Source organism: Homo sapiens, chromosome 22, assembly GCF_000001405.40.
Source record: "Homo sapiens chromosome 22, GRCh38.p14 Primary Assembly".
Lineage (NCBI taxonomy): Eukaryota > Metazoa > Chordata > Mammalia > Primates > Hominidae > Homo > Homo sapiens.
Genome location: NC_000022.11, coordinates 17,612,948 through 17,636,308, shown reverse-complemented (window position 1 = coordinate 17,636,308; position 23,361 = coordinate 17,612,948). Strand labels below are relative to the sequence as shown.

Here is a 23,361-nt window from a genome sequence, read left to right as displayed (position 1 = left end):
CTCTGTTGCCTGGGCTGGAGTGCAGTGGCAGATCTTGGCTCACTGCAACCTCAGCCTCCTGGGCTCAAGTGATTCTCCTGCCTCAGCCTCCAAAGTAGCTGGGACTACAGGTGTGCACCACTATGCCTGGCTACATTTTGTATTTTTAGTAGAGACGGGGTTTCAGTGTGTTGGCCAGGCTGCTCTCGAACTCCTGACCCCAAGTGATCCACCCACCTCAGACTCCCAAAGTGGTGGGATTACAGGCGTGAGCCACCGCCCCAGGCCACACATGGCTACTTTTTAAAAGATGTTTTTGTAGGCCGGGCGTGGTGGTTCACGCCTATAATCCCAGCACTTTGGGAGGCCAAGGGGGACGGATCACGAGGTCAGGAGATGGAGACCATCCTGGCCAACACAGTGAAACCCCGTCTCTACTAAAAATACAAAAAATTAGCTGGGCATGGTGGCGCGCACCTTCAGTCCCAGCTACTGGGGAGGCTGAGGCAGAAGAATCACTTGAACCCGGGAGGCGGAGGTTGCAGTGAGCCGAGATCGCACCACTGCACTCCAGCCTGGGCGACAGAGTGAGACTCTGTCTAAAAAAAAAAAAAGATTGTTTTTGTGGAAATGGGTATGTTCCCCAGGCTGCTCAGAAACTCCTAGCCTCAAGCAATTCTCCCATCTTGGCCTCCTAAAGTTCCTGGCCTTCCCTTTTTAATTTTATTTTTTGAATATATATTTTGAGACTAGACATACAGGTCAATGGAACAGAACAGAAAACCTAGAATTGTTAACTAATTTTCAACAGAAGTGCTAAGGCATTTCAATGAGGAAAGAGATTGTCTTTTCAGCAAATTGCATAAAATAATATAGCCCTTTTATAGAAATCATTTGACTTTAATCACAGCAGTTTATGGTATTTGGAGTTTTTTTATTTAATTTGCTTTTGTTTTAGTAGAGATGGGGTTTCACCATGTTGGCTAGGCTGGTCTCAAACTCCTGACCTTGTGATCCGCCCGCCTGAGTCTCCCAAAGTGCTGGGATTACAGGTGTGAGCTACCACACCCGGCCCTTTTTTATTTAATTTTTTAGTTTTTTTTTTGTAGAGATAGCGTCTTGCTGTGTTGTCCAGGCTGGTCTTGAACTTGTGGCCTCAAGTGATCCACCTGCCTTGGCCTCCTGAAGTGCTGGGATTATAGGCATGAGCCACTGCACCTGGTCAGTTTTCGGGGGAGTTTTGGACAGATTTTAATAGGCGCTACAGATCTCTAGCCTACAGGCTAATGTGGTTATCGACTCTAAACTAGACTCTACTCATTTTATTCATTTGCATTCATCAGTTGTTTGTTGCTTTTTTTTTTTTTTTCCTTTTGAGACAGAGTCTCCACTTCCACTCTGTTACCCAGGCTAGAGTACAGTGATGTGATCATGACTTACTCTAGCCTTGACTTCCCAGGCTCAAGCAATCCTCTGGCCTCATCCTCCCAAGTAGCAAGGACTACAGGCATGCACCAGAAAGCCTGGCTAATTTATTTAATTTTTTTTTGTAGAGGCAGGTGTCCCACTATGTTGCCCAGGCTGGTCTCAAACTCCTGGGCTCAAGTGATCCGCCTGCCTCAGCCTCCCAAAGTGCTAGGATTACAGGTGCCAGCCACCACGCCTGGCCAATCAATTGTTTATTGAATCCCTGCCATTAACCAGGCAGGGTGCTGGGTGCTAGCAAAAGCAATGATGAGTACATCAGACGCGGTCCCTCTTGTGAAGCTAACATCTTAGTTGGAAAACCAGAAAAGAAAAACATTGAAACAGAAAAAAGTAAAAATAATTTAAGATGATGGCATGGGCTGGGTGCGATGGCTCACGCCTGTAGTCCCAACACTTTGGGAGCCTGAGGCAGGTGGATCATAAGGTCAGAAGTTCCAGACCAGCCTGGCTAACATAGTGAAACCTCGTCTCTACTAAAAATACAAAAAATTAGCCGGGCATGGTGGCTCATGCCTGTGGTCCCAGCTACTCGGGAGACTGAGGCAGGTGAATGGCTTGAACCTGGGAGGTGGAGGTTGTGTTGAGCCGAGATCACTCCACTGCACTCCAGCCTGGGCAACAGAGTGAGACTCCGTCTCAAAAAAACAAAACAAGACAAACAAAAAAAAGGTGGTGGCATGTCCTGAAACAGACAAGGGACTGGAATAGAGAAGAAGGTGAGAGAGTGACCAGGATAAGCTCTCCTCAAAGAGATTTTGAGACCTAAAGGATGAAAAACAAGTTAAGTGGTAAGTGGAGGAAAATAACTTCTCAAGCAGAAAAATAGATGTTTTCAAAAAAACTGAAAGGCAACCAGTAAAGCTTTGAGGTGGTGTGCAAAGGGAGGAGGGGTAATGAGGGCAGGCAAGCATACAGGGCCAGATCCAGTGGTCTCATCTACTAGAGCCAGCGGAAGGCTTCAGGAGCAAGCAGAAGCCATGACAGAGTTGTAAATTGGGGAGTGACTTGATGCCATCTGCCATCTAGGTTTTAAATCACTGTAGCATAGAAATTTGGCTGGAAAGAGGCAAAAAGTGCAGACACCTAAGTTAGAGTTACTATTTTTTGGCTACACTTTGTTTTTTCCTTTTCAAATTATTTGCTCAACATTTAAAGACAGATGATTTACATTTACTTCTAGTCTTTCGCGCTTTGTCCTCCTGAGCAAACTCCAGAGTTAGCTTATTTATCCTGCTGATTCAGTATCTAGTAAACCTGCCTGGGAGTAGGTGAGAGCACATGAACCGTCCCTTTCTGACTAACCTGACAGGAATCTAGGCCAGTGACTTTGGTGAAGCCACAAATAGGCTTATCTAGGAGGGAGTTTTTTGAAACTTGTCTGAAAATATGTTTTAAAGTGTCTCCACAAGGCCTAAGAATGTAGGAGAAAATTACATTTGGAAAACTACCAACTGGCTCATCTTTGCATGTATTCATAACAACTTTTTCCCTTCAGAGGTTATCTCTGTAAAGCTTACATTCTTTTCAGACAGGACCTGGCCTGTTCCTTGGTGAATCAGCAAAACTGAAGAAAATTGAGTTTTAAAGAGAAACTAACATGGGGGAGAAGTGGGTGCTGCAAAAGGGGATAGTAACTATACCTACGATTTGTTTTTCAAGTGAAGTCTTGAAGTAAATGTGACAAATGTTAATTGTTAATTTTGGGTAGTGGTGCATGGTATGGGAATAAATTATTCTTTGTACTTTTTTGTATTTTCTAATGTCTCAAAATAAAAATAAGTAAATCGTGGTCAGGCGCAGTGGCTCATGCCTGTAATCCTAGCACTCTGGGAGGCTGAGGCGGGTGGATCACCTGAGGCCAGGAGTTCGAGACCAACCTGGCCAACATGGTGAAACCTTGTCTCTACTAAAAATACAAAAATTAGCTGGGCATGGTGGCACATGCCTGTAGTCTCAGCTACTCGGGAGGCTGAGGCAGGAGAATTGCTTGAACCCGGGAGGCAGAGGTTGCAGTGAGCCAAGATTGCACCACTGCACTCCAGCCTGGTGACAGAGCAAGACTCCCATCTCCAAAAAAAAAAAAAAAAAAGAAGAAGAATCATAAAGATTATCACACTGTTTTCCAAAAAACAAAAGCACGGTTGATCTAGACAGTGCTACATCCATTCCAGATATTAATTTCAGAAACAATTTGACATGTAGAATTAGACTGCTGTTTCTACTCCCCAAATCCTGTCATTTGCAGAACACTGTAAAAATACAGGAGAGATTGTAATCAAAATGTGTTAATTCCACCTCAACCTGACCTAGGGATGCTAGAGGGTAGAATAGTCCTCTAGCATATTCCATACTCCTGCAATCTGTTTTTTAGGACAATGAAGAATGAGGCTATTAATGCAAAAGATGAACAAAATTAGACAAATAATCCAATCTAGTTTAGCTCAATAGTGATCAAGTTAAGGTCAATTGCATCAGTTTCTCTTGCCCTGTGTTATTGTTCTGTGACTAAATCCTTCCTTTATCCAGCATTATCAGTACTCTCAAATATATATACCAATATGTACACCAATCTGTCCTACAAGGAACACTGTGCACTAGTACAAATGGAAAAAATGGCAGCATGTATTAATAAATATATTAATAAATGGCAACGTTTATTGTCCTGTGGGTAAATCTTTCCTTTATCCAGCATTATCAGTATTCTCAAATATGTATACCAAATATGTATACCAATCTGTCATACAGTACAAGGAACATTGTACACTAGTACAAATGGGGAAAAAATGGCAGCATGTATTAACAGCCTTCAAAATATGTGTACCGGCCAGGCGCCGTGGCTCACGCCTGTAATCCCAAGACTTTGGGATGCCAAGGCGGGCAGATCACGAGGTCAGGAGTTCGAGATCAGCCTGGCCAATATGGTGAAACCCCATCTCTACTAAAAATACAAAAATTAGCTGAGTGTGGTGGCACGCGCCTATAGTCCCAGCTACACAGGAGGCTGAGGCAGAAGAATCACTTGAACCCGGGAGGTGGAAGTTGCAGTGAGCTGAGACTGCGCCACTGCACTCCAGCCTGGGCAACAATAGCGAAACTCCATCTCAAAAAAAAAAAAAAAAAAAAAAAAAAAAAAAATATATATATATATATATATATATATATATATATATACACACACACACATACATACACACACGTACCATTCCTACTAAAAGGACAAAGAGCTGAGGTGGGAGGATCCCCTGAGCCCAGGAGTTCGAGACTAGCCTGACAAACACTGTAGGACTCTGTCTCAATTTTAAAAATAAAATTGAAAAAAAGGGACAAACGGACATCATGTACTTTCTGATGTGTTGCAAAGAGGACACAATATCACACATGTAGTACTCCTGCTATAATGCGTAACCTGAATCTAATTATGAGGAAACTGTCAAAACCCAATTGAGGCTGGGCGTGGTGGCTCACACCTGTCATCCCAGCACTTTGGGATGCCAAGGCAGGCAGATCATCTGAGCTCAGGAGTTCCAAGAACAGCCTGGCCAATGTGGCAAAACCCTGTTTCTACCAAAAAGAAAAAATTAGCGGGGCGTGGTGGCGGGCGCTTGTAATCCCAGCTACTGGAGAGGCTGAGGCAGGAAAATCTCTTGAACCCAGGAGGTGGAGGTTGCAGTGAGCCGAGTTTGCACCACTGCACTCCAGCATGAGCGACACTCTTCTGTCTCAAAAAAAAAAAAAATTGAGTGATTTTCTACAACTGGCCTATATTCTTCAAAATGTCACTATCAAGAAAGATAAGTCTGAGGAAACTCTTCCATATTAAAGGAGACTAAAAAGACATGATCACTAATGCAGTAAGTGACCCTGGATCCAATCCAGGTTATAAAGGTTATAAAGTAAGGTTATAAGAAGGTTATAAAAGGTTAAAAAGTAAGGTTATTAAAAAAAGGTTATGGCTGGGCGCGGTGGCTCACGTCTGTAATCCCAGCACTTTGGGAGGTGGAGGCAGGCAGATCACCTGAGGTCGGGAGTTCAAGACCACCCTGGCCAATGTGTTGAAACCCCATCTCTACTAAAAATGCAAAAATTAGCTGGGCGTGGTGGCAGATGCCTGTAATCTCAGCTACTGGGGAGGCTGAGGCAGGAGAATCAATTGAACCCGGGAGGCGGAGGTTGTGGTGAGCCGAGATTCTGCCACTGCACTCTAGCCTGGGCAACAGAGCGAGACTCCATCTCAAAAAAAAAAAAAAAAAGAAAAGAAAAAGAAGGCCGGGTGCAGTGGCTCACACCTGTAATCCCAGCACTCTCGGAGGCCGAGGCAGGTGGATCACGAGGTCAGCAGTTCAAGACCAGCCTGGCCAACACAGTGAAACCTCATCTCTACTAAAAATACAAAAATTAGCCATGCATGGTGGCAGGCACCTGTAATCCCAGCTGCTTGGGAGGCTGAGGGAGGAGAATCACTTGATCCCGGGAGGCAGAGGTTGTAGTGAGCTGACACCATGCCGTTGCACTGCAGCCTGGGCGACAGAGTGAGACTCTGTCTCAAAAAAAAAAGAAAGGGTTATAAAGTACATTGATGGATTGATGGGACAAAGGAATTTGTTTTTTTTTTTTTTGTTTTTTTGAGACGGAGTCTCACTCTTATTGCCCAGGCTGGAGTGCAGTGGCACGATCTTGGCTCACCGCAACCTCTGCTCCTGGGTTGAAGCAATTCTCCTGCCTCAGCCTCTCCAGTGGCTGGGATTACAGGCACACACCACCACGCCTGTTAATTTTGTATTTTTAGTAGAGACTGGGGTTTCTCCATGTTGGTCAGGCTGGTCTCGAAATCCCGACCTCAGGTGATCTGCCCACCTCAGCCTCCCAAAGTGGTGGGATTACAGGCGTGAGACACCGCGCCTGGCCCGGGACAAAGGAAATTAATGTTCAGCCTAGTAAACTAAATTTCCTGAATTTGCTACATCCTCGTTCTTATGACACACTAAAATAGGAAGTGTGTGTGTGTGTGTGTGTGTGTGTGTGTATGAAAATAAAGTGTTAATGTACATGTAGCAAAATGTTAACAATTGTTGAATCTAGGTGAAGGGAGGTCAATGCAGTATTCTTACAAGTTACTATATCTCAAATTTCTTCAAGATAAAAAGCTAATAAAAATGGTGGGTAACCATAGCACAGTAAAAAGAAAAAAGTGGGTGTACCATTTGACCTCTTATTCTACTATTAGGAGTCAGTCTATCCTAAAGATAAAGGAATTTTCAAAAGTTTTTGCCTTTGGGATTTTGGGGAAAAAAACGGGCTTGAGGTAAATCCAAATAAAAACAAATGAGCCTGGGGGGATTTCTGTCCTAATATTCCTCTAAATGGGACCTGGGAAGGCTTTTGAAAAATATATAGGCTATCTCAGAAAAGTTCCAAATAAATTATGTAGCTGCTCCACCCTAATAAGGAAGTTGAGCATAGCTTCCCACTCCCTAGGTGTGGGCTTTGTATAGTGGCTTCCTTCCTAAGACTACAGTATGGAAAGGGGGTTAAAAAAGGTAACTTCAGAGTGGAGAAACCTACAAACCCTACACTTTATTCAGGTAATCAAGGTTGACATGAATAGTCAGAAATCATGTATCCCCCTTTTTTTTTTCTTTTGGTAGAGACGGGGTTCCTCTATGTTGTCCAGCCTGGTCTCGAACTTGAGGTCAAGCGATACACCCGCCTTGGTCTCCCAAAGTCTCCGGATTGCAGGCGTGAGCCACCACGCCCGGCCAACAATCATGTACCCCTAAGCCCATAACCCTGTGTAATTATGCGAAAAATTCCAATAAAGGCACATTCTCCAATATACCTAACCAGTACTCCTCAAAACAGCCCGACTAATTTCAGATAGAGGAACTCCTTATCTTTTCTTCCTCCTACCCAAGATCCCAGTTTAGGAAAAAAATACCGGTCAGGTCACGAGTCAGCGACGTAGAAGGACCCGAGGACGCGCCCACAGGCCGGGACAGGGCGGGACTTCCTGGGCGTCGCTCTCTTCCCATTGGCTGAGAAGGGTCATGAGGATGAACTGTGCAGTCACCTGGCAGGAACCGGAACCCGCGGTTATAAAGTAAAGGAACCCGAGATCTGCGCAGGGGTTCCCTTTGCCGATTTCTCTCACCTCACCTTTCAAACCTAAACTCGAGCCTACTGTTCACCGGCCTAGCATTGCTCTCGCCATGGCTCTCAGCGATGCTGACGTGCAAAAGCAGGTGAGGGGCTTGGTTGGGTCTTACGAAGCCGCGGCGGCAGTCCCGGGGAGTGGGCTGGAGCCCGCCTAGGGAAGGCCGCGGGCCTTGAGCCGCCCAGATGCCGCAGGAAGGTCCCTTGCTCCAAGTCACCAGATCCAAGAGGTCGGCCTGAGGACGGAGATTTGCCCCGCAGCTCATGTGACTTTTGCTCGGGTCTTGGGCACTGCCCGCTTGCCTGCGCGCTGCCTTCTTGAACGCCCTGGCTCTTTGCCTCCCACCTCAGCATTCCCTGTTTTCCAAGGGTATTCACTGTGCCTAGTCGGACAGAGATCTGTGCAAGGATTGAAAACAGCCTTGTGGCCAGGGGCAGTGGCTCACGCCTGTAATCCCAGTATTTTGGGAGGCCGAGGCGGCCGGATCACCTGAGGTCAGGAGTCCGAGACTAGCCTGGCCAAAATGGTGAAACCCCGGTCTCTACTAAAAATAGAAAATTAGCCGGACGTGGTGGCGCGCGCCTGTAATCCCAGCTACTCGGGAAGCTGAACCCGGAGGCGGAGGTTGCAGTTAGCCGAGATCGCGCCTTTGCACTCCAGCATGGGCGACAGGGCGAGACTCCCTCTGGAAAAAGAAAAAAAAAAAACAAACCAGCCTTGTCACTTTTTTTTTTTTTAACCCTGAGGGAAATGCTTAAGGCTATATGATAGGAAACAGTGCGGAGGGAAGAGACCTGCTTCCAACCAGTGTTTTGACAAGGTCGTTCACTTTATGAACTGTGTTTTTTTCTTTTTTTCTTTTTTTTTTTTTTGAGACGGAGTCTCACTCTGTCGCCCAGGCTGGAGTGCAAGGGCGCGATCTCGGCTCACTGCAACCTCCGCCCCGGGTTCAAGTGATTCTCCTGCCTCAGCCTCCCTAGAAGCTGGGATTACAGACTCGCGCCCCAAGCCCGGCTAATTTTTGTATTTTTTTTAGTAGAGGCAGGGTCTCACCATATTGGCCTGGCTGGTCTTGAACTCCTGACCTCAGGTGATCTTCCCACCTGGGCCTCCCAAAGTGCTGGGATTACAGGCATGAGCCAACGCGCCAGGCCTGTATGTACTGTTAATCTTCATTTTGGGGAAGTCCCCTCTATCATAATGGATTGTAATGATTGGTCTCCCACTAATGTGTGTGTTAACATTTGTGAGATACAGGCTGGGGCCGGGCATGGTGGCTCACGTCTGTAATACCAGCACTTTGGGAGGCTGAGGAGGGCGGATCACCTGAGGTCAGGAGTTCGAGACGAGCCTGGCCAGCATGGTGAAACCCCATCTCTATTAAAAATACAAAAAATTAGCCGGGCATGGTGGCGGGCGCCTGTAGTCCCAGCTACTCGGGAGGCTGAGGCAGGAGAATGGCGTGAACCCGGGAGGCCGAGCGACCCTGGGCGGCAGAGCGAGACTCCCTCTCAAAAAAATAAAAAAAAAAAGATTGTCTGGGCCTAGTGGGGTGCGCCTGTAGTCCCAGCTACTCAGGAGGCAGAGGCAGGAGAATCGCTTGAACCCGGCAGGCGGAGGTTGCAGTGAGCCAAGATTGTGCCACTGCACTCCAGCCTGGGTGACAGAGTGAGACTCCATCTCAAAAAATTTTAATATTAATAAACACAAATACACGCCAGGTGTGGTGGCTCACACCTGTAGCCCCCAGCACTTTGGGAGGCTGAGGTGGGAGGATCGCTTGATCCCAGGAGTTCAAGACCAGCCTGGGCAACATAGACCTTATCTCTAAAAAATTTTTTCTTAAAAAATAAGCCAGGCTGTCTGGGCATGGTTGCTCATGCCTGTAATCCCAGCACTTTGGAAGGCCGAGGTGGGCATATCACCTGCGGTCAGGAGTTCCAGACCAGCCTGGCCAACGTGGCAAAACCCTGTCTCTACTAAAAATACAAAATTAGTGGGGCGTGCTGGCATATGCCTGTAATCCCAACTACTAGGAGGCTGAGGCAGGAGAATTTCTTGAACCCGGGAGGTGGAGGTTATGGTGAGGCGAGATCACACCATTGCTGCCTGGGCAACAGAGCGAGACTGTCTCAAAAAAAAAAAAAAATTGCCAGGTGTGGTGGGGCACACATGTGCTCCTAGCTACTTAGGGAGGCTGATGTGGGAGAATCATTTGAGCCCAAGGGGTCGAGGCTGCAGTGAGCTATGATCATGCCACTGTGCTCCATCCTGGGTGAGAGAGCAAAAGACCCTGTCTCTAAAAATATTAAATAAATAAACAAAATTGTGTCAAATGGAAGACCGCTTTTTCTTTTCTTTCTTTTTTTTTTTTTTTTTTTTTGAGACGAAGTCTCGCTCTGTTGCCCAGGCTGGAGTGCAGTGGCATGGTCTCCGCTCACTGCAAGCTCCACCTCCTGGGTTCATGCCATTCTCCTGCCCCAGCCTCCCGAGAAGCTGGGACTTACAGGCGCCCGCCACCACGCCTGGCTAATTTTTTCTATTTTTTATTAGAGATGGGGTTTCACTGTATTAGCCAGGATGGTCTTGATCTCCTGACCTCGTAATCTGCCCACCTCGGCCTCCCAAAGTGCTGGGATTACAGGCATGAGCTACCGCGCCTGGCCAGGACCCCTTTTGCTTACATTTAGGAGCCTCAATGCCTAACGGTGTTTGGCACCAAGTAGATGTATCAGAGTTTATGGGAAAAAATTGTTGTGGAAGTCGTGAACCCACATCAGTTTTCAAAGTGTAATCAGTCCTGGGAAACTTTTTTTTTTTTTTTAAGTGCCATACCTTCAAGTCTGTAGGTATTAAGAATTTTGTCATGCAAAAGACTCTCAGGGGAATATAGTAGCAGTTTATAAGCCTATAACTAACAAATCAGAATCCTTGCATTTAGTAATCATATTGCCGATAGATTTTTCAGAGAAGGAAGTTTAAGGCTGCAGTTTTAATTTGCACATAGTTTAGAGAACTAAGTCCTTTTTTTTCTGAAGTACTGTGCTAGGAAAATTCTCTTACTAAAGCACACTCACTGTCTTATGAATCTTCTGAGATGAGCAATAAAATTTTTTCCTGGCCGGCTCACGCCTGTAATCCCAGCACTTTGGGAGGCCGAGGCGGGCAGATCACCTGAGGTTGGGAGTTTGAGATCACCTGAGGTTGGGAGTTTGAGACCAGCCTGACCAACATGGAGAAACCCTGTCTCTACTAAAATTCAAAATTAGCCGGGCGAGGTGGTGCATGCCTGTAATCTCAGCAACTTGGGAGCCTGAGACAGGAGAATCGCTTGAACCCAGAGGTTGCAGCAAGCCGAGATCATGCCATTGTACTCCAGCCTGGGCAACAAGAGTGAAACTCGGTCTCAAAAAAAAAAGTTTTTCGTTGGATGTTTCCATTTCCTTGAAAGTGTCTTTTCATTTTATTCTTAACCTAATATGCACTAAGACGAGTGGGTATTTCTTCTTCATTTTGTGGTTCTGCTAATGCCAAAGGGTAAATAGAGATGACAAAATTAGTATCTATGGAGAAGTTTAAGAAATCATACAATATTCTTACAGAACCAAAGGGTTTTTTTAAACCTTTTTCACTGCTTCTTCTGTTCACTGCTTCTTCTGCTTCTTTCAATATAGGAAAAGCTTGATGCAGTGGAAAAGTAAAATGCCCTCCATATACTCTTAGTGGCCACAGTGCTAATTCTCTCCCTCTTGTTCCCTTTCTTCCCTCCTTGTCATAATATATTGAAGACTAAGGCTTCCATAGGAAAAGCTAGTATAAAGATAAAGCTATAGTTCCTTGGAATCTAGATCAAAATGATTTTTTTTTTTTGAGATGGAGTCTTGCTTTGTCGCCTAGGCTGGAGTGCAGTGGCGCGATCTCAGCTTGCTGCAACCTCTGCCTCCTGGGTTCAAGCGATTCTCCTGTCTCAGCCTCTCCAGTAGCTGGGACTACAGGCGTATGTCACCACACCCGGATAATTTTTTTGTATTTTTAGTACACATGGGAATTCGCCACGTTGGCCAGGCTGGTCTTGAACCTCCGAAGTGGTGGGATTATAGGCGTGAGCCACTGCGCATGAGTTATTTTTTCTTTTTTTTGAGACAGTCTCGCTCTCTTGCCCAGGCTGGAGTGCCATGGCGTGATCTCAGCTCACTGCAGCCTCTGCCTCCCGGGTTCAAGCGATCCTCCTGCATCAGCCTCCTGAGTACCTGGGATTACTGGTGCCCGCCACCACACCCAGCTAATTTTTGTATTTTTAGTAGAGATGGGGTTTCACCATGTTGGCCAGGCTGGTCTCGAACTCCTGACCTCGTGATCTGCCCGCCTCAGCCTCCCAAAGTATTGGGATTACAGGTGTCAGCCACTGCACCCGGCCTATTTTTTATTTATGTAAAATTGAAAGAAGGAATCTTGTCTATTTCCTATAATCCTTCATGCTACATGAAAGCTCGATGAGGACAGTGTGTGTTGTTTACTGTATTCTCATAAGTAAATAGATGAAGCACCAAGCCCATAGTAGATGCTTAATAAATCCTGAATTTTCTGACTTCTCCATTGCATGAAAATATTTGTGTATATTTGCTTTTTTCCTGGGGAGTATGGTAATTTATTTCATCAAATTTACAAAGAAACCTGACTCTAAAAACCTTAATTACTGAGCAGGAAGAAGAAACTGTTTTTTTAAAGGTCAAATTTTCTGCCTTAGGGGTGGAGTTAAATGTCCTTAAAGGGTTGACTATATCTCTTCTTGGAACTCTTAAAAGAATATGATCATGTTAACTGTAAATAGGCTTCTGACCTGGGTTAGAATTAGCGCAGTTTGCTCTAGGCTGTGCTGGTCTGGTCAAATCTGGTAGCCAAGGGTGCAGCAGAGTGCTAAAGGCAGATAATCCAGGTCCGAATCAGGGTTCACCTTTAGAGGCCAAACTTGTAGCATTTATAAACACCGGTTTTGATTACTGTATTTAGTTAAATGACTTTTTTTTTTTTTTTGAGACAGAGTCTTGCTCTGTCACCCAGGCGTGATCTTGGCTTGCTGCAACCTCCACCTCCCAGGTTCAAGTGATTCTCCTCCATCAGCCTCCTGAGTAGCTAGGATTGCAGGCACCCGCCACCACGCCTGGCTAATTTTTGTATTTTTAGTAGAGACCAGGTTTCACCATGTTGGTCAGGCTGGTCTTGAACTCCTGACCTCGTGATCCACCCGGATTGGCCTCCCAAAGTGCTGGGATTACAGGCGTGAGCCCGGCTAGTTAAATGACTTAAAATTCCAGATAGAATAAGTTCAGTGAGACTTCAAACTAAACTTGTAGACACCATTACCATGACCCCTCTCCATACTCCCAAATTTGTGGAGCTGATCTTTTAAGCAAGGTCAGTGATTTCCCACACATCTAGGTCTGGATTAGGTACCCCAAGTATTTCAAGGCTCAAGATATTGTAAGTACCATGTTATCTATAACATAGGTTTGATCATCATAACTTTTTGTCTCCTTAAAAGTAGGATTGGAAACACGATGGTGGCCACAGAAGTTGGAATCCACTGAGTGTGTAACAACTCACCTGCCAAAATAAGAAAAAAAAGAAAAGTAGGGTGGCTCCAAGATTTTTGATAAAACAAAAAAACTGTCCCTTCTAAAATCCTCCTATATGTTTTTTGTTTCATTTTGTTTTGTTTTTTTTGAGACGGAGTTTCGCTCTTCTTGCCCAGGCTGGAGTGCAGTGGCACAATCTATGCCTACCACAACCTCCGCCTCCAGGTTCAAGTGATTCTCCTGCCTCAGCCTCCTGAGTAACTGGGATTACAGGCATGCACCACCACGCCTGGCTAATTTTTTGTATTTTTAGTAGAGATGGGGTTTCTCCATCTTGGCCAGGCTGGTCTCAAACTCCCAACCTCAGGAGATCTACCCACCTTGGCCTCCCAGGGTCTTGGGATTACAGGCATGAGCCACCATACCCAGGCAGTAGTGTTTTCTTTTCTTTCTTTTTTTTGTTTCATTATACTTTAAGTTCTGAGATACATGTGCAGAATGTGCACAGGTTTGTTACATAGTGATACGCGTGCCATGGTGGTTTGCTGCACCCATCAACCCATCATCTACATTAGGTATTTCTCCTAATGCTATCCCTCCCCTAGCTCCCCACCCAGTAGTGCTTTCTTAATTCGTTTTGGTACACCTATGTATACTTAAGATTTATGATATCTTGTGTTATATGGAGAAGCTGCTATGGGGATTGTTTACAGATTGTTAAACCCTAAAAAGTACCTGGGATACCTTGTATTCCTTAGAAGTCTTGAAACTCCCAACAGATTTGCATTCATTCACAAATTTTTTTGAGCATCTCCTATGGTGGTGGTTGTTCCATGTTCTGGGTTCACACTGGCATAAAAGACAAGATCCCTGTACTCAGTGGTGCTTACCTTTTAGTGGGATAATTAATAAACAAAATGAATTAATGACCTAAAGATCCTACGTCAATTTTTAGCTTTTTTTTCCTTTTTGGATTTCATCACTCCCTTAGGAAATGAAGCTACCATTGCATCCCACAACCAGTGAGTTTGATGAGCTGTGTCGGTTGGATTTTTACTTGGGTATATTTTATATCTGCCACAAGAGATGATACTTCATTTATGAGTCTAAGTTGGATTATTCCCCAAGCCCCATTCGGAAGCCTTCATTGGACTTTATTCTCCAATTGTAGCCGGTGATCTAGGAACCTTTAACAAGTTCCTAGCCTCATAGTTCAGTTGAGGATAGGGACAAATAAGCAACAATTACAAGTTTAGGTGCCGTGATAGAGGAAGTACAAAGTACTCTAGGTACAGGAAAGATTTCCCTAAGGAGGTGATAGTTATACAAGCTGAGGCCCAAAAAGTTAGAAGGAAGAATGTTCCAAATGGAAGGAACAGCATGTTTGAAATCTTGGAGATGAGAAAGAATGGTGAGCTCAAGGAACTGAAATAAGTTTAGTATGGTAGGAACTAAGAGTCTGAAGATGGTGAGTAGTGAAGGGTTTGTTGTTTCATATGATGCTTGAAAGGTAAGCAGTGGGCTGAGTACGGTGACTCACACCTGAAATCCCAGCACTTCGGGAAGCCAAGGCAGGAGGATCGCTTGAGCCCAGTAGTTCAAGACCAGCCTGGGCAACATGGCAAAACCCCTCTCTACAAAAAATACAAAATTAAGCTGGACGTGGTGACACGCACCTATGGTCCCAGCTACGGGGGGATCGCTTGAGCTGTAGAAGGCGGAGGTCAAAATGAGGCGGGATTGTGCCATTGCACTCTAGCCTGGGAGACAGAGACCCTGTCTCAAAAAAAGACAGATAAGCAGTGATAAGATCCTGTACCTTCTAAAATCTTTATCTTAAGCGGGGGTAGAGTGTTACATGATAAGATAGGCATTTTGAAAGCATCTCTCTGGTGGCAATGTAGAGTCGATTAGAAACAACAAGAATAGCGGCAGGAAGACAAATTTGGAAGCTGTTGTAGTAGTTTAGCTGAGAGGAGATGATGGCAAGGACTATGGTAGTCCCTCCGATGATGGAGCGAGGTGGGCAAGGTAAAGAACTATTTTTTTTTTTGAGACAGAGTCTCGCTCTGTCGCCCAGGCTGGTGTGCAGTGGCGCGATCTCGGCTCACTGCAAGCTTCGCCTCCCGGGTTCACGCCATTCTCCTGCCTCAGCCTCCCAAGTAGCTGGAACTACAGGCGCCCGCCACCACGCCGGCTAATTTTTTGTATTTTTAGTAGAGATGGGGTTTCACCCTGTTAGCCAGGATGGTCTGGATCTCCTGACCTCGTGATCCGCCCGCCTCGGCCTCCCAAAGTTCTGGGATTACAGGCGTGAGCCACCATGCCCGGCCGGTAAAGAACTATTAAGAGAGAATTAATAGAACTTGGTGATTGCTTGGATATAAGGACTGAGGTAGGAGGAATAGTCACAGTTGGGTGTTGGTGCTAATCCCTGAGAGAGAGCTCAAAGTGAGAAGTGGGGAGAGGAGTGGTGAGCAGTTCAGTATTGAATGTGTTGAATTTAAATTACTATGAGTAGGATGTTCAAAAAGAGCTGTCTAGGAGGCAGAGTGGAAGAGTATGGCCCCAAAAGAGTGGAAGAGTATGGCCCCAAAGGAGACTGGAAAGGAGAACAGGAGGAAGTCACGGACGCAAAGGGAAGATTGTTAAAGAAGGGAAGGTTGCTCGCCGTGCGCGGTGGCTCACGTCTGTAATCCCAGTACTTTGGGAGGCTGAGGCGGGCGGATCACAGGGCCAGGAGATCGAGACCATCCTGGCTAAGATGGTGAAACCCCGTCTCTACTAAAAATACAAAAAATTAGCCAGGCATGGTGGCGGGCGCCTGTAGTCCCAGCTACTCGGGAGGCTGAGGCAGGAGAATGGCCTGAACCTGGGAGGCAGAGCTTGCAGTGAGCCGAGATCATGCCACTGCACTCCAGCCTGGGTGGCAGAGCGAGACTCTGTCTCAAAAAAAAAAAAAAACAAAGGGAAGGTTGCTGAACACATCAACTGATGCTGAAAGATCAAGTAAGAAAAGGCCAAGATCAAGGGGCGAGGAGATGGTCACTTTATGAGAGAACTGTCAGTGGAGTACAGAGAAGGGTGCAAGTGAGACTGCAGTGTTGAGAGAAAGGTAGTAAAGTTGAAAGAGTAAGTATAGATAGCTCTTCAGCATACTTTCTTACAGGTGGAGAAGAGAAAGGGAGGGTGCTGGCTAACTTGTATTCCAAGTTCCTTGAGAGGAGGATGAAGGTCCTATTTATCTGTGTTATTGAGTATTGTATCTGGTCTATTTTCTTGAACAAATTTTAGATCCTAAGTTTCCTGAGAATAGGAATGATCTCACTTATCCTTGTACTCAGAGCCTAGCACAATATGCATTCAGTAAGTGATTGACTTTTTTAAATTTTTAGTAGAGACGGGGTATCTGTGTTGTCCAGACTAGTCTCCACCTCCTGGCCTAAAGCAATCCTCCCTCCTTGGCCCCCCAGAGTGGTAGGATTACGGGCGTGAGCCACTGCACCTACCTATGATTACTTGTTCAATGAATCAGAAAAGATATTTCCATATTTTTGAACTAAAAAATAAAACTTTTTTTCCTTATAGATAAAGCATATGATGGCTTTCATTGAACAAGAAGCCAATGAGAAAGCAGAAGAAATAGATGCAAAGGTGAGATTCATTTTCTAGTTTTAAGAAGTTATCAAGGTTTCCATATTGTTTTGCTTTGCTAAATAATATTGTTAGTAAAACTGCTTAACAACAGATTGCATCGGACTGATAAAAATGTCTCTTCCTTCCCTCCTTCCCCTCCTTCCTTCCTTCATTTTTTTTTTTTTGGAGACCGAGTTTCACTCTTGTCGCCCAGGCTGAAGTGCAATGGCGCGATCTCGGCTCACTGCAAACTCCGCCTCCCAGGTTCAAGTGATTCTCCTACCTCAGCCTCCCGAGTAGCTGAGATTACAGGCATGTGCCACCAAACCCAGCTAATATTTGTATTTTTAGTAGAGACGGGGTTTCACCGTGTTGGCCAGGATGGTCTCAATCTCTTGACCTTGTGATCCGCCTACCTCGTCCTCCCCAAGTGCTGGGATTACAGGTATGAGCCACAGTGCCTGGCCCCTTCTTTCATTTTGAGACAGTCTCGCTTCGTCACTGGGACTGCAGTGCAGTGGCCTGATCTCAGCTCACTGCAACCTCTGCCTCCCGGGTTCAAGTGATTCTCCTGCCTCAGCCTCCCAAGTAGCTGGGACTACAGGCAGGCACCGTCACACCTGTCTAATTTTTGTATTTTTAGTAGAGACAGGGTTTCACCATGTTGGCCAGGCTGGTCTTGAACTCCTGACCTCAGATGATCCACCCGCTTGGGCCTCCCAAAGTGCTGGGATTACAGGTGTGAAACACCGTGCCCAGCCCTATTTATTTACTTTTTTTTTTTTTTTTTTTTTTTTGAGATGGAGTCTCGCTCTGTCGCCCAGGCTGGAGTGCAGTGGCCAGATCTTGGCTCACTGCAAGCTCCACCTCCCAGGTTCACACCGTTCTCTTGCCTGAGCCTCCCGAGTAGCTGGGATTACAGACACCCGCCACCACGCCTGGCTAATTTTTTGTATTTTTAGTAGAGACAAGGTTTCACCACATTAGCCAGGATGGTCTCGATCTCCTGACCTCGTGATCTGCCTGCCTCGGCCTCCCAAAGTGCTGGGATTACAGGCATGAGCCACCACACCCGGCCTTTATTTACTTTTTAATTTAAATTTTACCTTAATAAATTCCTCATTGGAAATGTCTGTATCTTTAACATTAAAAAATAAATTTTCCTTTCTAATGGTTGTGATGCCAATAAGTGTCCTGAAATTTTATGTTAGAGGGTAGAAAAGTAATGTATGATTCATTTTCTCATGGAAACCAAAATTCAGATATTTAACAACCGTGGCGAACTGTGATAGGTGACTAGAGAAGGTTGTAGTGTTTCATTGTTTAGCTTTTTTGTTAATCTGTGCTCATTGCAAAAAAGTAAAGTTTGGGCTGGGATTGGTGGCTCACGCCTGTAATCCCAGCACTTTGGGAGGCCAAGGCAGGCGGATCACCTGAGGTCAGGAGTTCAAGACCAGCCTGGCCAACATGGTGAAACCCCGTGTCTACTAAAAATACAAAAATTAGCTGGGCATGGTGGTGTGTGCCTGTCATCCCAGCTCCTCGGGAGGCTGAGGCGGGAGAATCGCTTGATCCCAGAATGCAGAGGTTGCAGTCAGCAGAGATCGTGCCACTGCACTCCAGCCTGGACGACAGAGTGAGACCTTGTCTCAAAAAATTAAAAAATAAAAAATAAAAAGTTTGGAAGTATATAGGGTATAAAATGAAAACCCCACCCATTACAAAGGTGACCTTCCATCAGCATTTAGAAGTTTTATATATATTTCCAGTTGTACATTGCTTATGCCAATTTATATTCCTTAACAGTATGTCAAAATGTTCTTTTCCCAAGGTATAATCATAACACGCATTTTTTAAAGCTTGCCTTAAAAATATTACCAAAATATGGCCGGGGCGGTGGCTCACACCTGTAATCCCAGCACTTTGGGAGGCCGACACAAGTGGATCACCTGAGGTCAGGAGTTCAAGACCAGCCTGGCCAACATGTTGAAACCCCATCTCTACAAAAAATACAAAAATTGGTTGGGTGTGGTGGTGCACGCCTGCAGTCTCAGCTACTCAGGAGGCTGAGGCAGGAGAATCACTTGAACCCGGGAGGTGGAGGTTGCAGTGAGCTGAGATCGCACCACTGCACTCCATCTAGCCTGGGTGACAGAGTAAGACTCTGTCTCAAGAAAAAAATCAGTAAATAAAATATGACCAAGATATATTGTTTAATATTTTCATTGTCCTTTTAGTACAGCCTTAAATTTTTATGTGCCTGGTACTCTAGAAATAAAACTCTCTGAAACCTTGGGCTATTTGACTAGTTTATCATTTGAAGAAGAAAAGACTATTTTCCCTCTCACTAATACATAACAGCTGATAGGATATTGCTTAATATTGTTTTGATGGTGATAGTTTCTTGTATGACTCTTTTTTTTTTTTTTTTGAGACGGAGTCTCGCTCTGTCGCCCAGGCTGGAGTGCAGTGGCGGGATCTCGGCTCACTGCAAGCTCCGCCTCCCGGGTTCACGCCATTCTCCTGCCTCAGCCTCCCAAGTAGCTGGGACTACAGGCGCCCGCCACTACACCCGGCTAATTTTTTGTATTTTTAGTAGAGACGGGGTTTCACCGTTTTAGCCGGGATGGTCTCGATCTCCTGACCTCGTGATCCGCCCGCCTCGGCCTCCCAAAGTGCTGGGATTACAGGCTTGAGCCACCGCGCCTGGCCTCTTGTATGACTCTTTCTGGATCAAATACAGAAGTCCTATTTCAGCTATTATTTCAGGAAATGCATTTCTTTTTTTTTTTTTTTTTTGAGCCGGAGTTTCATTCTTGTTGCCCAGACTGGAGTGCAGTGGCGCGATCTCAGCTCACCACAACCTCCGCCTCCCGAGTTCAAGCGATTCTCCTGCCTCAGCCTCCCAAGTAGCTGGGACTACAGGCGCATGCCATCACGCCCAGCTAATTTTTTGTATTTTAGTAGAGATGGGGTTTTACTGTGTTGCCCAGGCTGGTCTTGAACTCCTGAACTCAGGCAGTCCACCTGCCTTGGCCTCCCAAAGTGCTAGGATTACTGGCGTGAGCCACCACGCCTGGCCTCAGTAAATGCATTTCTGTCTCAAATATTTATTTATTTTATTTAGTTTTGAGACGGAGTCTCCCTCTATTGCCCAGGCTGGAGTGCAGTGGTGCAATGTCGGCTCACCACAACCCCCACCTCCTGGGTTCAAGCAATTCTCTTGCTTTAGCCTCCTGAGTAGCTGGGATTACAGGTCCCTGCCACCATGCCCAGCTAAATTTTTTATATTTTTAATAGCGATGGGGTTTCACCATATTGGCCAGGCTGCTGTGGAACTCCTGACCTCATGATCCTCCAGCTTCAGCCTCCCAAAGTGCTGGGATTACAGGCGTGAGCCACCACGCCCGGCTTTTGTTTGTTTGTTTGTTTGTTTGTTTGTTTTTTGAGATGGAGTCTTGCACTGTCGCCCGGGCTGGAGTGCAATGGCACGATCTCAGCACACCGCAACCTCTGCCTCCCAGGTTCAAGTGATTCTCCTGCCTCAGCCTCCTGAGTACCTGGGACTACAGGCACCTGCCACCACGCCCAGCTAATTTTTTGTATTTTTAGTAGAGATGGGGTTTCACCGTGTTAGCCAGGGTGATCTTGATCTCCTGACCTCACGATCTGCCCACCTCAGCCTCCCAAAGTGTTGGGATTACAGGCGTTAGCTACCGCGCCAGGCCAATTTTTGTATTCTTAGTAGAGATGGGGTTTCACCATGTTGGCCAGACTGGTCTCGAACTCTTGACCTCATGATCCACCCGCCTTGGCCTTTCAAAGTGCTGGGATTGCAGGCGTGAGCCACCTCTATCGCCCAGGCTGGAGTGCAGCAGTGTAATCTCTGCTCACTCTAACCTCTGCCTCCTGGGTTCAAGCGATTCTCCTGCCTTAGCTTCTGGGTAGCTGGGATTACAGGCGCCTACCCAGGCCCAGGTAATTTTTGTGTTTTTAGTAGAGACGGGCTTTCACCATGTTGGCCAGGCTCGTCTTGGAACTCCTGACCTCAAGTGATCCGCCTACCTCGGCCTCCCAAAGTGCTGGGATTATAGGCCTGAGCCACTCTACCTGGCCTGTTTACGTATAATAAAATAATGTATAATAAAATTTATGTATAAAAAAATTAATATTTTTTTTGGATGGAGTCTTGCTCTGTCACCCAGGCTAGAGTGCAGTGGCATGATCTCGGCTCACTGTAATCTCTGCCTCCTGGCTTCAAGCAATTCTCCTGCCTCAGCCTCCCAAGTATCTTGAACTACAGGCGCCCGCCACCACGCCTGGCTAATTTTTGTATTTTTAGTAGAGATGGGGTTTCACTATGTTGGCCAGGCTGGTCTTGAACTCCCGACCTTGTGATCCGCCTGCCTCAGCCTCCGAAACTGCTGAGATTATAGGCGTGAGCCATGGCGCCCAGCCCATAATTTATATTTTTAAATATATGCGACACTTACCCATGAGGGAAAAAAAATTTTTTTTTTTTTTGAAACGGTGTCTCGCTCTGCTGCCCAGGCGCGATCTCGGTTCACTGCAAGTTCCGCCTCCCGGGTTCATGCCATTCTCCTGCCTCAGCCTCCCGAGTAGCTGGGACTACAGGCGACTGCCACCACGCCCGCCTAATTTTTTGTATTTTTTAGTAGAGACGGGGTTTCACCATGTTAGCCAGGATGGTCTCGATCTCCTGACCTCATGATCCGCCTGCCTCTGCCTCCCAAAGTGCTGGGATTACAGGTGTGAGCCACCGTGCCCAGGCAACTTTTTTTTTTTTTTTTAAGAGTTCGCTTTTGTTGCCCAGGCTGGAGTGCAATGGCGTGATCTCAGCTCACTGCAACCTCCACCTCCTGGGTTCAAGCATTTCTCCTACCTCTCCCTCTTGAGTATCTGGGATTACAGGCATGTGCCCACCATGCGCGGCTAATTTTTGTGTGTGTGTGTGTGTATTTTTAGTAGAGATGGGATTTCTCCATGTTGGTCAGGCTGGTCTCGAACTCCCGACCTCAGGTGATCTGCCCGCCTCAGCCCCCCAAAGTGCTGGGATGGCAGGCGTTAGGCCACCATGCCTAGCCTTTATTTTTTATTTTTATTTTTTTAGATGGAGTTTCCCTCTTCTTCCCTAAGCTAGAGTGCAGTGGCACGATCTCGGCTCACTGCAACCTCCGCCTCCCAGGTTCAAGCGATTCTCCTCCCTCAGCCTTCCGACTAGCTGGGATTACAGGCATGCGCCGCCACGCCTGGCCAGTTTTATATTTTTAGTAGAGACGAGGTTTCTCTATGTTGATCAGGCCGATCTCAAACTCCTGACCTTAGGTGATCTGTCTGCCTTGGCCTCCCAAAGTGCTGGGATTACAGGCGTGAGCCACTGCGCCCAGCCAACTTTTTAATTTTTTTAAGTTCATTTTACAAGAGAGGACACTAAGCCTGAGGTTACTCGACCACATTTTATGGGCAGTAATCTGGATCTTTGTTTTTTTTTGAGACAGAGTTCTGCTCTGTCGCCCAGGCTAGAGTGCAGTGGCACGATCTCCACTCGCTGCAAGCTCTGCCTCCCGGGTTCACGCCATTGTCCTGCCTCAGCCTCCTGAGTAGCTGGGACTACAGGCGCCTGCCACCGCGCCTGGCTAATTTTTTGTATTTTTAGTAGAGACAGGGTTTCACCGTGTTAGCCAGGATGATCTCGATCTCCTGACCTCGTGATCCACCCGCCTCGGCCTCCCAAAGTATTGGGATTATAGGCGTGAGCCACCGCACCCGGCCAGGATCTTCTAAACTTTCAAGTTCTGTGTCATATTTATTGGCCCACCAGTAAGCTAATGGATTAAGTTTCGAACGTGTGGTAATTTTTTTCATGAGCAGAATATTCTACCCAATTATATCCTTTAGTAACTTGTCGGTTACTGTTACCCTTGACGAAATTTTTAGTTTCCTAGTACGTCATTTATAATGAAAATTGCTGATCTTTCCTTTTGAATAAATTAGAATCCTTGAAAATGAATCACAATAAATTTTCTGTTTTATATATGAAATTAGTGTTCATAAGCAAGTAACGCAGGTCACCAGCTGTTTAAAACTGTTAATCAAAACTTGATGTAATGAATTAATATTGACTAATTTCCCTCTAGGCAGAAGAAGAGTTCAACATAGAGAAAGGTCGGCTTGTGCAAACCCAAAGACTAAAGATTATGGAATATTATGAGAAGAAAGAGAAACAGATTGAGCAGCAGAAGAAAATGTAAGTAGATCCTGGTTGCAGTATTAAGCTAAGAAGTTTTCTGAAGTCATGAGCAGGCGCTTTGGAGTCAGGCATATATAAATTCAGGTCTTAACTCGACCACCTACTACTAATCTGACAAATTGTTTAACTTCTCTTTCTTCATTTGTGAAAATTAAAGCCTGACAGGATTATTCAAAGATTAAACTGCAGGCTGGGCAAGGTGGCTCACGCTTGTAATCCTGGTGCTTTGGGGAGGCCAAGGGAGGAGGATTGCTTGAGCC

General features: G+C 45.9%; 2 protein-coding genes across 13 annotated transcripts in view, besides 5 other annotated features; one reads left to right on the top strand and one right to left on the bottom strand.

Moving 5' to 3' along the window:
• The window catches only part of BCL2L13 (BCL2 like 13), a 101,979-nt gene extending 94,547 nt beyond the window's left edge, over window positions 1-7,432 (bottom strand). For 7 of the 10 annotated variants that reach the window (XM_011546119.2, XM_017028725.2, XM_047441287.1 and 4 more), the window contains exon 1: window positions 7,403-7,432. The gene's annotated coding sequence lies outside the window, so the exon portion shown is untranslated. Of the gene's footprint in view, window positions 1-7,303 lie in introns of all 10 variants that reach the window. The other 3 variants (XM_047441286.1, XM_047441290.1, XM_011546120.2) reach the window with 2 other exon arrangements.
• Window positions 1,304-1,535: a silencer, noted in NCBI's record as "fragment chr22:18117540-18117771 (GRCh37/hg19 assembly coordinates)". NCBI's record gives its function as "represses an EF-1alpha promoter that drives an FKBP-Casp9 reporter gene in an ReSE screen in K562 erythroleukemia cells {active_cell/tissue: K562}" and the evidence as "EXISTENCE:reporter gene assay evidence [ECO:0000049][PMID:32094911]".
• Window positions 7,435-7,604: an enhancer, noted in NCBI's record as "experimental_62453 CRE fragment used in MPRA reporter constructs". NCBI's record gives its function as "activates a minimal promoter by MPRAs in K562 erythroleukemia cells, with activity observed for both the introgressed and non-introgressed 22:18111556 variant alleles {active_cell/tissue: K562}" and the evidence as "EXISTENCE:reporter gene assay evidence [ECO:0000049][PMID:34662402]".
• Window positions 7,435-7,635: a biological region, named in NCBI's record as "ATAC-STARR-seq lymphoblastoid active region 18623".
• ATP6V1E1 (ATPase H+ transporting V1 subunit E1) overlaps window positions 7,487-23,361 on the top strand; it is a 36,687-nt gene continuing 20,812 nt past the window's right edge. The window contains exons 1-3 of one of the 3 annotated variants that reach the window (NM_001039367.1): window positions 7,487-7,706; window positions 16,783-16,848; window positions 22,989-23,098. In NM_001039367.1, coding sequence (NP_001034456.1) covers window positions 7,674-7,706; window positions 16,783-16,848; window positions 22,989-23,098 — 209 coding nt within the window. In that variant the 5' untranslated portion in view covers window positions 7,487-7,673. The remainder of the gene's footprint in view (window positions 7,707-16,782; window positions 16,849-22,988; window positions 23,099-23,361) is intronic. The other 2 variants (NM_001696.4, NM_001039366.1) reach the window with 2 other exon arrangements.
• Window positions 7,546-7,635: an enhancer, noted in NCBI's record as "active region_18623". NCBI's record gives its function as "activates an Ori minimal core promoter by ATAC-STARR-seq in GM12878 lymphoblastoid cells {active_cell/tissue: GM12878}" and the evidence as "EXISTENCE:reporter gene assay evidence [ECO:0000049][PMID:35858748]".
• Window positions 7,716-7,865: an enhancer, noted in NCBI's record as "active region_18622". NCBI's record gives its function as "activates an Ori minimal core promoter by ATAC-STARR-seq in GM12878 lymphoblastoid cells {active_cell/tissue: GM12878}" and the evidence as "EXISTENCE:reporter gene assay evidence [ECO:0000049][PMID:35858748]".